Here is a 15,994-nt window from a genome sequence, read left to right as displayed (position 1 = left end):
CTGAATTCCACTAACACTGTGGGTTAATACTTATTATCCTTTTTTTCTCATAAAAAAATACTATTCTGCTCTTTAAACCTGCATTCTCTTAGCTACTATACAAGATAATAATCTATACTTTTTTTCCTGAGACTATTTTACCATCATCTTTATCATGGTTGGCAAGTAACACATAATTTTGGTGTTTGATTAATTGATACACTGTAAGAGTAGGTACTGATATCTCTTTTGATCACCCTTTGACTTTTTACGGTAGGTGTTGAATACATGTTTGTTGAATTCATTAATGAAAAAATGATGTGAGTAAGTACCCAAGTGATACTCATAGTGCAAATATTTTCAATAAATTCCAGATTCATCTAGAAACTTTTCATTGTTCCTGGGTGGTATTTGATGGAACATTCTCAAGAGAAATACTTATGGGAAGTCTGAGAGTCAACAAACATCTCTGGATTTGGGGCAAAGTTCACATCAGCCAGTTAGTTGATCACAACCATCTTTTCTGACAGTGCCTTTATGCTTGTAATGAGATGTGATCACAGAGCTATAAAGAAGTGAGAAAGTTAAACCTAAGAGAGACTTGTGAAATATTACAGTGAGATAAATTTTGGGGACATTTGGACAAAATGTATCTTTTTTCAGTAACATGGAAGATGGCTACAGCTTTGTTCTCATATCTGGTAAATATTATCAATAGCATGTCCTAGGATTCCACAATCCAGACCTTTCTCTCATCTCTCTGTTGGCTTAGGACCCCAAAATGCCTTAAGATTCTTGGAATTTAGAGCCAGAAAGAAATTTCAATATTACTGTATCCAAGTTACTGTGTTTCATAAATGAGGCTTGAGCTAATAAACTCCTTCATTTATTCAACATCTATGTATTGAAGATCTCCTAGATGCCAGGCACTGAACTCATGGACTGCAATATCACAACTAAAAAGGTTCTCCTAACCACACTCTTTGTTCTTATGTAGTTTGCATTCTGGTAGAATGACACAGAAGAGAAAACCAGTTGATAAATAAATGAGTAGCATAGTTTCAGATAGTGGTGAATACTGTGGAGAAGATAAAGCAAGGGATGGACACAAGAATAAGGGAACACGCCTCGACAAGGAATGGTATCTGATTTGAGCTCTGACAAGAAGGAGCCAGGCTTGGAGAGTTCAAGGTGAAGGATTTTCTGGCTGCCTCTCTGGTAAATATCACAAGGTAGGAATAAGTTGCTAAATTCAAATCAGAAAGCCGGTTTGCCTGGATCATAGTGAGGAATGGGGAGGAGAGAGACACAGTGGCTGTGTCAGGTATGGGCAATGGTTGTGTCAGGTATAGCTGTGTAAATCAGGCCAAGCGTTTTGGGTTTCATTCTTTGTGCAATGGGAAACCACTGGAAAGCTTTAAGCAGGGAAGTAAAGTGATGTATTTATTTTTAAAAGATTACTCTAGCTGTCCAAGAAGAAACTAGTCCATTGGGGTTGGCATGGGAAAAGTATAGGTAAGAGGCTATGCTATGATCTAAATGAGAGATAAATCCTCAATCGTATAGTGACTTACTGGCAGATCCTAGGGTAAAAATTCAGGTTTCCTCCAACAACAAATGAATTCAGTAAAGTTAAAAAATATCAAATAAAAGAGTAGTTAATATTTATTAAGTGCTTAGTGTTTGCCAGATCCTTTATAGGCATCACTTTAATTGACTGCTTTCTAAGCACCATTTTATTTAAAATTTGTCATAATTCTCTGAGGTGGATTCTATTCTTTCTATTTTACAGATGAGGAAACTGAAGCCTCAAGAATTTAAGTGTGTTTCCCATGTTCACACAGATATCAAGTGACAGAGTGGCAGGGTGGGGCTACAACCTAGACTGTCCCAGAACCCATAAGCCTCAAAGACCAGTCTCACTAGTTGTAGTGAGGGGCAGATAGTAGGGTGGTCATGCAGGTGGGTATTGGAGCCAGAAAGCCTGCATTCAGATCCCAGCTCTCTTGCTTATGAACCCTGTGACCTTGGGTGAATCACTTCATTAACTTCTCATTGCCTTTATTTCCTCATCTATAAACTAGGAAGAAGAAGAAGAGTAGATTATGCTTCATAGACTCATTGATTTAACGTATGCACAGAGTTTAGAATGGTGTTTGGCCATAGGAAGCATTCAGCAAATACTGTCATTGCTGTGTAGTCACACCACGTGAATGTGAGCCACATTTTAGACTATAATGCAAAGAAGCTCCTCCCTTCATCTTCTGGGTAGCTGAAATGCTCAGCCCAGAGCAGGGGCTCAAGAGACATTTGTTTGAAGATATTGTTTTCTTGAGGCCAGATGAACTTCTTACTCATTTGGATTCCAGGTGAGCTGGGAGGAAGTATGCAAGTGATCCGTCTCTGCTAGTGTTCCCTAGTTTTGGGTGTGTCCCCCTTGGAAACTCTGCTTTGTCTAGGGGGCAACTGAGTAACTGCCACAGCTTCATCCTCAGAACAAGAGGAGGAGAAGGGAGGAAGTGAGTCCTGGGGATCGAGCTTCATGTCAGGTGGTGGTTAGGGAAATTGTTTACAGAGGTCCCTCCTCAGGCATAAAAACAAAGAGAAAAATATTTAAGGCTTTCATTTTCAGGTAACATTTCAGGGAGAGCCAGACACTCTAGATTCGGAACCAAGACAAAAATCCAATGACCTAACGAGATTCTAGAACTTTTGTGATGTGATTGCAATGTTTACTATCTTGCATCCTTTCCCCTCCCCATGTTCCCATGGTGATTAGTATTATAATAAAACTCGGGAAAGAAATATGACCCCTGAACTTTGTCTTTGCAAAGGATGGAAAAACAGAGAAGCTGGGTCCCATGTAACAGCCACAGTTTGTAGAATGGATATGGCAGCAATGCCTGAAAGAAAGGGAAAACGCTGATTCTCTGGCTCCCTGGGGCAAAAGAAAAAGGAAAGTGGAGGAGGGGGAGTTTCATTGAACTTAGGGCTAATAAGTGGCTTTGGGACTGGTCAGGCAGAAGTCCTCATAGGTTCCTTGGTATATGTGTGGTCTCAAAGACCACCAGCCTCTCACCCCCTTGCAGCCTCTGCTGGTCTCGGAAACCCAAGCTCATTATTTCAACTGGCTGTCGGCATCTGTGCTGTTACACATAATGATCAGCAGGGGGCAGTGTAGCCAACATATTACTTGTGAGTGAGGGGCTGTCTGCTTTCCACAGGAGGGTCTGGGGAAAAAGTTCATGCAACGTAAAACTGCGCCTAGCTGTGCAGGCTCTGAGTAGAAGACTCTACCTTTTCCCTTTCTCGCCTCCAGGATTCTACTCTTCCCTCTCTTGTCTCTTCTTCTATTTTGCTTCCTTGCTCCCTCTGCTCAGCCGCCTACCTTTTATCTTTGCAAAGCATGCTCATACCCATTGCCTTCTTGGGTCCTCCCAGATATTCTATGAGAGATGGGGCCACGTTAAATATCGAACATTTTGCAGATGAAGAAACAGAGACCCAGAGAGGCGCCTGGTCCCTAGCCCCCGTTCTTTCTTCCCATACACTTAGGGGACATGAAAGTCAACAGCCCAGGGTTACATTGTTTTTCATTGCAGAGAAGGCTCTTCTACCCCCAGGGGCACTGCACACACACGTTGGAATTAGAGCAAGAGCTGCCAAAGTAATAAATTGAGAAGGGGCTTGTTCAGAGGCATGGACTCTGGGGTACCGTCAATTTCATCAGGCCCTCCACGGAAAGGATGAAAAGTCAAAGGACTATATATCCTTTGAAGACACACTTGGGACAAGGTGGGAAGAAATCTTTCTTTGTGCTTGTTAAGAAAATACGTCACCAGTGCTCCTGGATCAGGGCTCGGTGGCCGGACCGAGCCAGTGAAAGCTAAGACTACATCCTCCGTACAGGAGTGTGAGACTATGAGTGCCTTCCTCCATCTCTTTAAACCTTGGTTTCCTCTCATATGAGGGGTGATTGTAACAGTGTTGATCTCACAGAGCAGTTTTGATGGAGTCCTGCACATACTCTGCATTCAATCAATATTGCTATTAGTATCAAAATAAGAAACTGACTGTTTTCATAGCTACTCTGTGTGAAAGATTGATTATATTGATGGTCTTGGTTAATGCCTGCTTGTAGCTACCCTTTGCTATGGGACCTTCTAGTCTCTGCCCACTCTGAGTCCAAACTGGACTTGGGTCTTGCTTTGGCCAATGGAATGCCAAAGTGACTTTGGCTAAAGGGACTCTGTGATAGTTTCAAGCCTGGCTTCCAGTATCCTTGAACTCTTCTGTTTTCTCTTGCTTGCTCTTGAAACATTGCCACCACTGTAGGGAAAAGCCCAGGCTACCCTAGTGGAGGATGAGAGTGACATGGAGCAGAGCGAGTCCAGTTTCCTAACTGAGGTTATTATTGGACCAGGCTCAGACACTGGACTTCCAGTCATGTGGGAGAGCCCAGCTAACATCAGCAGAACTGCCACCTGACCACAGCTGACCCAGGTACATGAGTAGGTCCACCTGCCACCAGAAGAACTTCTCAGCTGACCCATACCGACTTGGGAACAATCATAAATACTTATTGTTTGATGCCACCTACTTTTGAGAGAGTCTGTTTCACAGCAATAGCTAATGATCCACTACTTAAAGTTTTACAGCGTTTCATTGAAGGAGGGGGAAATGCTGGCTAGGACTATCTGAAAAGTGACCAACGTATTAGCTATATTACTAAATACTTAAGTCAGTAGTGATATTTTTAAAGTCTCAAGTTTAATGATAGGTGCATGATGATTCAGAGTAAACACTGGAATAAGACAGTGCTGATTCCAAATGCCTGCTCCACCTTTGACCAAATTTGGGAACTGCTGTATGCCTCGATCTCGTCTTCTGCAAAGTGGGGATGATAATAGTTGATGGGAAGAATAGTGGTGGGGATTACATGGGATAATCTATGTAGAGTGTTTAGCATGGTGCCTGGCACATAGTGAGCACTCTGTAAAGGTTAAACATTTTTATTAACAGTGATGAATTAAATCTTCAAAGAACATCTCTACACACCACCATGTGTTTGCTGAAGATCCAGTTGATAATCCAGGATAGAATTTTGCAATTAATGCATTTAAAGCTTTGAAAAAAGAAGAATTACAATTACACATATATTGTATATGTATGTGTGTATATATATATATATTTCCTTCTTTCTTTAATTAAAAAAGTAACATATATGTTGCTATATATATATATTCCAACATATATACATATTTCCTTCTTTCTTTAATTAAAAACGTAACGTATACTATATACCTGAATCCAAAATTTCTCCTAGGGCAAAAATGCTGATTCAAAAAAATTTGAATTGTGAGTTATGACTTATAATTATGAAAATCAAACTCCACTGCATTGAGGTCAACTTAATTTTCTTAGAAAAGAAACGTGCACACTGTGCTCTTCTGTTAGACGATGGCATAAATCTCTTCGGGTTGTGAGTGGTAATGATTTACCTTATATTTTGTTGAACAAGGAAGCAGAGCAATTATCCACAATAGCTCAGGTGAGAAAAAAATCATCCGACTAGGTAGCTCTTGTGTAAAGGTTTAACTCATCAGGAGATCTCAAAAGGAAACTAGACTTAGGTTTAATTCAAATTCAGGATGACACTTCAAGGATCAGTCCCTTACCAGCTTTCAGATTGTACATGGTGTTTATTCCTCATGGAGAAGAGAAACTGGGGAGCAGATAGGAGTCATGGAGAAATTCTCCAGTTTACAGAGGAATGCTGTGTCAACTCCTCTTTCCCGGACAGAATTATGCTGTGTGAACACTCACTGATTTTGTTGATTCTCAGTTAATTAAAAAAAAAAAAAAGGTAAAAATAAACTTGACCCTGTCCCCAAACACTGGCTCTTGCACTTTTTTGTCTTATCTTGGTTCTGTCTTTGGATGCCTATCCTGTCCTATCTGGTGTTAGCTACATGCTTGTGGATGTTGCACTTAAGATCAAGGGATTTTCCTGGATATCCTTTTTAACTTTCTGTCTCATTGATCTGTCTAATGTTGACAGTGGGGTGTTAAAGTCTTCCATTATTATTGTGTGGGAGTCTAAGTCTCTTTGTAAGTATCTAAGGACTTGCTTTATGAATCTGGGTGCTCCTGTATTGGGTGCATATATATTTAGGATGGTTAGCTCTTCTTGTTGAATTGATCCCTTTACCATTATGTAATGGCCTTCTTTGTCTCTCTTGATGTTTGTTGGTTTAAAGTCTGTTTTATCAGAGACTAGGATTGCAACCCCTGCCTTTTTTTGTTTTCCATTTGCTTGGTAGATCTTCCTCCATCCCTTTATTTTGAGCCTATGTGTGTCTCTGCACATGAGATGGGTTTCCTGAATACAGCACACTGATGGGTCTTGACTCTTTATCCAATTTGCCAGTCTGCATCTTTTAATTGGAGAATTTAGCCCTTTTACACTTAAGGTTAATATTGTTATGTGTGAATTTGATCGTGTCATTATGATGTTAGCTGGTTATTTTGCTCATTAGTTGATGCAGTTTCTTCCTAGCCTCAATGCTCTTTACAATTGGCATGTTTTTGCAGTGGCTGGTACCAGTTATTCCTCTCCATGTTTAGTGCTTCCTTCAGGAACTCTTGTAGGGTGGGCCTGGTGGTGACAAAATCTCTCAGCATTTGCTTGTCTGTAAAGGATTTTATTTCTCCTTCACTTTTGAAGCTTAGTTTGGCTGGATATGAAATTCTGGGTTGAAAATTCCTTTCTTTAAGAATGTTGAATATTGGCCCCCACTCTCTTCTGACTTGCAGAGTTTCTGCCAAGAGATCTGCTGTTAGTCTGATGGGCTTCCCTTTGTGGGTAACCCGACCTTTCTCTCTGGCTGCCCTTAACATTTTTTCCTTCATTTCAACTTTGGTGAATCTGATAATTATGGATTGAACTCACCTCTGCACCAAGCAGACCTAATAGACATCTACAGAACTCTCCAACCCCAAATCAACAGAATATACATTCTTCTCAGCACCACATTGCACTTATTCCAAAATTGACCACATAGTTGGAAGTAAAGCACTCCTCAGCAAATGTAAAGAACAGAAGTTATAACAAACTGTCTCTCAGACCACAGTGCAATCAAACTAGAACTCAGGATTAAGAAACTCACTCAAAACTGCTCAACTACATGGAAACTGAACAACCTGCTCCTGAATGACTACTGGGTACATAATGAAATGAAGGTAGAAATAAAGATGTTCTTTGAAACCAATGAGAACAAAGACACAACATACCAGAATCTCTGGGACACATTTAAAGCAGTGTGTAGAGGGAAATTTATAGCACTAAATGCCCACAAGAGAAAGCAGGAAAGATCTAAAATTGACACCCTAACATCACAATTAAAAGAACTAGAGAAGCAAGAGCAAACACATTCAAAAGCTATCAGAAGGCAAGAAATAACTAAGATGAGAGCAGAACTGAAGGAAATAGAGACACAAAAAACCCTTCAACAAACCAATGAATACAGGAGGTGGTTTTTTGAAAAGATCAATGAAATTGATAGACTGCTAGCAAGACTAATAAAGAAGAAAAGAGAGAAGAATCAAATAGACGCAATAAAAAATGATAAAGGGGATATCACCACCGATCCCACAGAATTACAAACTAACATCAGAGAATACTATAAATACTTCTACGCAAATAAACTAGAAAATCTAGAAGAAACGGATAAATTCCTGGACACTTACACCCTCCCAAGACTAAACCAGGAAGAAGTTGAATCTCTGAATAGACCAATAACAGGTTCTGAAATTGAGGCAATAATTAAGAGCCTACCAACCAAAAAAAGTCCAAGACCAGATGGATTCACAGCCGATTTCTATCAGAGGTACAAGGAGGAGCTGGTACCATTCCTTCTGAAACTATTCCAATCAATAGAAAAAGAGGGAATCCTCCCTAACTCATTTTATGAGGCCAGCATCATCCTGATACCAAAGCCTGGCAGAGACACGACAAAAAAAGAGAATTTTAGACCAATATCCCTGATGAACATTGATGCAAAAATCCTCAATAAAATACTGGCAAACCAAATCCAGCAGCACATCAAAAAGCTTATCCACCATGATCAAGTGGGCTTCATCCCTGGGATGCAAGGCTGGTTCAACATATGCAAATCAATAAACGTAATCCAGCATATAAACAGAACCAATGACAAAAACCACATGATTATCTCAATAGGTGCAGAAAAGGCCTTTGATAAAATTCAACAGCCCTTCATGCTAAAAACTCTCAATAAATTAGGTATTGATGGGACATATCTCAAAATAATAAGAGCTATTTATGACAAACCCACAGCCAATATCATACTGAAGGGGCAAAAACTGGAAGCATTCCCTTTGAAAACTGGCACAAGACAGCGATGCCCTCTCTCACCACTCCTATTCAACATAGTGTTGGAAGTTCTGGCCAGGGCAATCAGGCAGGAGAAAGAAATAAAGGATATTCAATTAGGAAAAGAGGAAGTCAAATTGTCCCTGTTTGCAGATGACATGATTATATATTTAGAAAACCCCATCGTCTCAGGCCAAAATCTCCTTAAGCTGATAAGCAACTTCAGCAAACTCTCAGGATACAAAATCAATGTGCAAATATCACAAGCAGTCTTATACACCAATAACAGACAAACAGAGAGCCAAATCATGAGTGAACTCCCATTCACAATTGCTTCAAAGAGAATAAAATACCTAGGAATCCAACTTCCAAGGGATGTGAAGGACCTCTTCAAGGACAACTTCAAACCACTGCTCAACGAAATAAAAGAGGACACAAACAAAGAGAAGAACATTCCATGCTCATGGATAGGAATAATCAGTATCGTGAAAATGGCCATACTGTCCAAGGTAATTTATAGATTCAGTGCTATCCCCATCAAGCTACGAATGACTTTCTTCACAGAATTGGAAAAAACTACTTTAAAGTTCATATGGAACCAAAAAAGAGCTTGCATTGCCAAGACAATCCTAAGCCAAAAGAACAAAGCCGGAGGCATCATGCTACCTGACTTCAAACTATACTACAAGGCTACAGTAACCAAAACAGCATGGCACTGGTACCAAAACAGAGATATAGACCAATGGAACAGAACGGAGCCCTCAGAAATAATACCACACATCTACAACCATCTCATCTTTGACAAACCTGACAAAAACAAGAAATGGGGAAAGGATTCCCTATTTAATAAATGGTGCTGGGAAAACTGGCTAGCCATATGTAGAAAGCTGAAACTGGATCCCTTCCTTACACCTTATACAAAAATTAATTCAAGATGGATTAAAGACTTACATGTTAGACCTAAAACCATAAAAACCCTAGAAGAAAACCTAGGCAATACCATTCAGGACATAGGCATGGGCAAGGACTTCATGTCTAAAACACCAAAAGCAATGGCAACAAAAGGTCAAAATTGACAAATGGTATCTAATTAAACTAAAGAGCTTCTGCACAGCAAAAGAAACTACCAGAGTTAACAGGCAATCTACAGAATGGAAGAAAATTTTTGCAATCTACTCATCTGAGAAAGGGTAATATCCAGAATCTACAAAGAACTCAATCAAATTTACAAGAAAAAAACAACCCCATCAAGAAGTGGGCGAAGGATATGAACAGACACTTCTCAAAAGAGATATTTATGCAGCCAACAGACACATGAAAAAATGCTCATCATCACTGACCATCAGAGAAATGCAAGTCAAAACCACAATAAGATACCACCTCACACCAGTTAGAATGGCAATCATTAAAAAGTCAGGAAACAACAGGTGCTGGAGAGGATGTGGAGAAATAGGAACAATTTTACACTGTTGGTGGGACTGTAAACTAGTTCAACCATTGTGGGAGACAGTGTGGCGATTCCTCAAGGGTCTAGAACTAGAAATACCATTTGACCCAGCCATCCCATTACTGGGTATATGCCCAAAGGATTATAAATCATGCTGCTATAAAGACACATGCACACGTATGTCTATTGCGGCACTATTCACAATAGCAAAGACTTGGAACCAACCCAAATGTCCATCAGCAATAGACTGGATTAAGTAAATATGGCATATATACACCATGGAATACTATGCAGCCATAAAAAAGGATGAGTTCATGTCCTTTGTAGGGACATGGATGAGGCTAGAAACCATCATTCTCAGCAAACTATCGCAAGGACAAAAAACCAAACACCACATGTTCTCACTCATAGGTGGGAATTGAACATTGAGAACACTTGGACTCATTGTTCACACAGGAAGGGGAACATCACACACCCGGGCCTGTTGTGGGGTGGGGGGAGTGGGGAGGCATAGCATTAGGAGACGTACCTAATGTAAATGACGAGTTAATGGGTGCAGCACACCAACATGGCACATGTACACATATGTAACAAATCTGCACAATGTGCACATGTACCCTAGAACTTAAAGTATAATTAAAAAAAAAAAAAGATCAAGGGCTTTACTATCCACAGACCCAGGTTGCAGGTCCTGTTTTAGAGGAAGTGGCAAGTTTCTTAAATCCCACCACCCAGAGGTGGCTCTTTCCAGCCTCTTCTCACTCATATCAGATGTAGGCTTTTCATCCCTGTCTAGGATACTCGTGTGTGTTCTTCCGGGAATCACAGTGAGTGAGCCAGAAAAGCACTGGACATTGTCTCAAAAGCCTCCACTGTGAGTTGTCTGCCACAGATACTGACACCCCAGTGGGTTACAGAGCAAATCTGCAATCATACAGAGGTTTCTGTGCTACGCCACCATGACTCACTGCTGGTGATCTGAGGTTCTCAGGCCCCACCTTTCCCCAGCCTGCCTGCCTTCGGGCTGCAGTGTGGTCGAGGCCAGATTGCAGTGGCCTTGAGATGGCAGACAGCTGGTGGGTACCCAGCATTCAGCAGTGGGACCACACCAGCTATTTATGGTGAGCTCCTTCTGGATTGGGCTCCTTCTGGATTGGTTGGTATTTGGACCTTATTGGTTGTTAAATGTTAACATTAATTCATCTAAAGCTTTGAAAAAAGAATTATCATTGCATATATATATATATATATATATATATATATTCTGTTTTTCCTTTAGTTAAAAAAGTAACATATACTATATACTTCAATTCAAAATCTCTCCTGGGGCAAAATTACTGATTCAAAAAAAAAATGGAAATATCACCGCTGGTTGCATGTGACAGAAACCTAGTTTTTATTGTACCTTTCCAAACCCAGGGGAGGAACCACAACCATCCTCTCTGTCTCTATGCCTCTCTCTCTCTCTCACACTCCTATCCAGCCATCTCTACTTATTTTTGAACACAGCAGAAAATGGCTGTCCCAAAGCTCCCAATTATTTCATTTCAAACCTCTAGCAGAAACCAACCAGGGTCTCTGAATTGCAATTCAGAATTCCTGGGGGAGAGAATCTAATTGGCCTAGTTTGGATCAGGTGTCCGTCTCTGGTCCAGTCAGCTGTGGCTGGGGGCGGTGGGGGGTCACAGTCACAGAACACAAGCACACCATTTAGCCTGCCCCTGGGAGTGATGGGGTGGGCAGTTGTCTGAGAAAGGCGCGGTGGTAGGCGGCTTCTGAAATGCCTCCCAATGATCCCGACCTACTGGTATCGACACCTCTGTGTAATCACTACCCCTTGAGTAAGGGCTGGACCTGGTGGCTCACTTCTAATGAATCAACTCTGCCAATAGTAAGGAGCTGTCACTTCCAAAATTAGGTTACAAAAGACCATGACTTCCATTTTGCACACTCTTTCTCTCTGGTTCTTCTTGTTCACTTGCTCTGAGAAAGCAAGCTGCTGTGTGTGCCCTGGGGAGTGGTCCATGTGGCAAGGGACAGAGGGTGGCCTCTGGCCTAGTGCCAGTGAGGGACTAAATCCTGCTAACAACCAAAGAGAGAGAATGGGAGTGGACCCTTCCCCAGTCCAGCCTTGAGATGGCTGCAGCCTTGCCTGTCACCTTGATAGTAGCCTCATGAGAGACGGTGAGGTAGAGTCACCCTGCTAAGCCATGCACAGATTCCTGACCCACAGAAACTGTGAGATAACAGATGTTGTTTTAAGCCACTAAGTTTTATCCCACCATTCCAGCAATCCTGCTCCTAAGCTGCTAAATATTGGGGCAATTTGTTATGCAGCAATAGATAACTCATACAGGTATTTCATGATTGGAGAGACTCTTGAGGTCAGATGCCCGTGTCTTGTCCTTGCTTCATCATGTACCAGCTGTGGTCTTGTACAAGTCATGGAACCTATTCAAGCCACATTCTCCTCTGTAAAATAGAGATAATAATAACAATATGGTTGCTGTGAGGACTAAATGAGATAATATAAACCCAGTGCTTCCACTTAGTTTAGGTATATTAATATTGACTAATTAAAATGAATATTAGCAATATCAGTAAAGTTTAGCTATTGTTAGTGAGCTGTCACAGCTCTTCTAACCCTACATATTTGGGTCATTGGTGCCTCAGTGCCATCTTCAAAGAAATCTGGAGAATTTTATGCTCTTTACAGAAATGATATGGAAAGAAACATAAAATATCCAAAAATCTTGAAGCAAATGGCTATTTAACTACTAAATATACAGAACTATTTTCATTTAACTCATTTTGGTCATACAGCAAAGGACAATTGCATATCATGGAGAAGACAAATAGAAATTGAACCAGTGCTCTCAGATTTGAAATATAAAAAAACAATTTGAGTTGATGGAATAAAGTTTGTTTTTGTAGTTTCCTCCCACAGCAAGGCATCTGACAACTTTCTGCAGCCAATTATTTTGTGCATGGAAATGCCAGGGCGCTGTGCAGGTGGCAATCCACCAGAGAGACGAGCCTGAAGATGAGGGGCACAGGGGTTGTCACTGGAACTTTCAAGGTTTCTGCCTTCTGAGGCCAAAATCCATGATGTCAAGGGTTTGATGGGATTTGCTTATTAATTCCAAGCACAAATGCTCAGTTCCTGTGTTTTCATTCCTCCTTGAGATGTGGTCTTTCTACCACTGGGAACTGTAAACCTTGTTTAGTAGTGAGAGAGGCTAGATTTGCAGATCCCCAACCGCACCTCACCTTCATCCTTTCACTGCTCCAGCCCAGGGCCACTGTTGGAGCCCAGATTTCCTACCTGCCATGGCTGTGTGTTCGTTCCAGGAGCCAGGGGCTCAGCCTACCAGCCTCCTCTTCTCCATCCATTCACACCGCTGTGCCTCTTCCTTCCTGAGCCTGGCTACTGGGGGTGAGGGCGGTGTAGGTAGCTTCCTTAGCTCCCCTACTTTTCCTGTCTTAAGGTCAGGCACAGTAGAAGCCCTTTCTGTGTGAAAAGCAGCATTACTCCTTGCTGAGAAAACAAAGGGCAGCAGAAAGATTGAATGAGAAGTATGGTGGGCAGGTACCCTTTACAAAAAAAATGCCAAGCCCCCTGAGGACAGACTGTCTCTGCCATGAAGCTGGGTGCTTCTGGGGTCTGGTGGGGGTCACTGCATTTCATCTCCCTCACGCCAACCCTGTCCCTAAGGATGCTAGAAAAAAATTGACGGTATATCTATCTGTCTGTCTATCTATCTATCTATCTATCTATCTATCTATCTATCTATCTATATTTGTTTTTGCTTCCAGAATCACCCTCCTCCAATCCTCAATGAAATAAACCAATTAAAAAAATTACCAGTAACAAGTACACAAGGAAAGAGGCGATCCTCTTGCTATAAACTGAAAAGTATCCAACAAGAAGAAAAGCAGGAGATTTTAGTGTGACTTAATGTAGCCCCTCTTCCTACAGAATGATACAAAAGTAAGTGAGTCTCAAAACCTTGAAAATTCTCACCAAATACCCCCGATTTGGATAGAAGCAGACAAAGTTGGGAATAGGGGGCTTAGAAAAAAGTCAAAGAAATCTTCTTAAGTGCAGAGGCTCCTATGTGTGGTTTCAATATTTCCTGGCTCAATACAAGTTGAGCCAGGAAAAGCCCCAAAGTGTTACCATCTCCCAGGACCCCGTGCTGAATCCGGGGACTGATCTGAAGTCTGAGAATACTCCCACTCCATGAGAAGAGGGAGAAAGGGAGTACCCCAAACTGGACATTACCAAAACCTTAGAAGAGAGGGTAAGCCCAGTACTATACCAAAGGCTGCAGAAAGTTTGCCAAGCTTTTTCCAAGTTCCTGTCCCCTTGCATTAAAATAGTATCTGGAAGGGAAAAAAGACCCCAGGTAAGGTTGGGAGGGTTTCACTGATAATTACTCTTCTTTTTGTCAGAGCCAAAAGAAGAACTGGACAGAGCTGTCTGCTTGAAGCATGAGCAAGATGAAAAGAAGCAATATGGTTACTAAGCAAGCATTTTGCAGAAGAATACAATGAAAGCAAAGACTTAAATAAGCATGGCAGGCATAAAACAGAGGAAAGACTGCAAGAAACAATAACCCAAGGAACCTAGGAAAAGTTTCTTGCAATTGCTTCAAGCTGCAGAGGAAATTGTTAAAAACATGAATTCAATAAGACAAGAGCCAAAACCAAAACCAAACAAAACCCAAATACTTCAGTCATGAAATTCAACAAACCAAAAGACAAACGGAGAAGCCAAAGAAAGAAGAATGAATGCAACACTCATTCCCAGGCAATCTTGGAGCAACTTCTGCAAACCTGTGGGGGAAAGAAAGTATAAATGTCCTTTGGGGATAAAGGCAATAGAAGACATTTATTTTTATTTTTTAAGGCAGAGTCTCGCTCTGTCATCCGGGCTAGAATGCAGTGGCATGTTCATAGCTCATCGCAGCCTTGACCTCCAGGGCTCAAGCAATATTCTCACCTCAGCCTCCTGAGTAGCTGGGACTACAGGCACGCACCACCATGCCTGTTTAATTTTGTTTATTTTTTCTAGAGATGAGGTCTCACTATGTTGCCCAGGCTGGTCTCAAACTCCTGAGCTTAAGCTATCCTCCCACCACGGTCTCCCAAAGTGCTGGGATTGTAGGTGTGAGCCACCATGCCTGGCCAATAGGAGACATTTTAAACTTGCCCTATTTAAACTTGGCATCTATGAACCCTCTTGAAAAAAGCATAAATAGAAAAACCATAGAGTCCTCTTACTAAAGGATTCAAAGGGAATCAACTTTTATATATGATGATAAAAAGATTTGCATTTGCACAACTTGGAGAATGAGTTACCATCTCATTCCAGTCCCAAACAGTTGACTGTGGGAGGCTATGGGTGGAAGAGGTGTTTGGAACTGAAATTCAATTTTAACTCCATCTGAGAAGCTTACAAGGCATCCCAGTGGAGATGTTGAATAGGCAGTTGGATCTAAGAGACTAGAAGTTGGAAGACAGGTCTGGGATGAAGATACACATTTGGGAGTCATAGACATACAGGTGGTATTTAAGGCTTGAGAGTGGATGAGATCACTCAAAGGGTGTAGACAAGAAGGCCAAGGAATAAGCCTTTGTTCACTCCAGTATTAAGAAATCAGGAAGAGGAGGAGGAATGAGCAAAGAAGACTGAGGTGGAAAGTCAGTGAGGAAGGAAGAAAACCAGAAGAGGGTGGTATCTGGAAGGCCAAGTGAAGGATGGGTATCAAGCAGAAATGCCATCAGCTGTGTCAACTGTGGCTGAAAGATCAAAGTAAGATGAGATCTGAGGATTATCCACTGTTTTTAGCAATGCAGAAGTCATGGGCGACTTTGACAAGAGTGTTTCAGTGGAGCTGGAGCTGTCGAGTTGAAAGCCGGCTTGGAGGGAGTTTAAGAGAAAGAGTTGGAGAGGAATTGGAGCAGTAAATATAGACAAGTTTTTCAAGAAGTTTTGCTGCAAATGGGGCAGATAAATAGGTGAAAGCTGGCTGGGGTGGTGAGGTTGAGATAATTTTTTTTTTTTTTTTTGAGATGGAGTCTTGCCCTGTTGCCCAGGCTGGAGTGCAGTGGCACTATCTTGGCTCACTGTAAGCTCCACCTCCTGGGTTCACGCCATTCTCCTGCCTCAG

At 41.4% G+C, this 15,994-nt stretch overlaps 1 long non-coding RNA gene across 3 annotated transcripts in view; it reads right to left on the bottom strand.

Annotated features, from left to right (window-relative positions):
- Positions 1–4,975: 4,975 nt before the first annotated feature.
- The window catches only part of LOC102723786 (uncharacterized), a 21,164-nt gene continuing 10,145 nt past the window's right edge, over positions 4,976–15,994 (bottom strand). For 2 of the 3 annotated variants that reach the window (XR_933708.2, XR_429763.4), the window contains 2 exons: positions 13,144–13,356; positions 12,072–12,290 (listed from right to left, as the gene is read on the bottom strand). This is a non-coding gene — a long non-coding RNA (uncharacterized LOC102723786). Of the gene's footprint in view, positions 5,105–12,071; positions 12,291–13,143; positions 13,357–15,994 lie in introns of those variants that run through there. The other variant, XR_933707.3, reaches the window with a different exon arrangement.

The sequence above is a fragment of the Homo sapiens genome, chromosome 16 (genome assembly GCF_000001405.40).
Source record: "Homo sapiens chromosome 16, GRCh38.p14 Primary Assembly".
In the NCBI taxonomy this organism is placed as follows: domain Eukaryota; kingdom Metazoa; phylum Chordata; class Mammalia; order Primates; family Hominidae; genus Homo; species Homo sapiens.
This window is presented reverse-complemented; position numbering and strand designations above follow the sequence as displayed.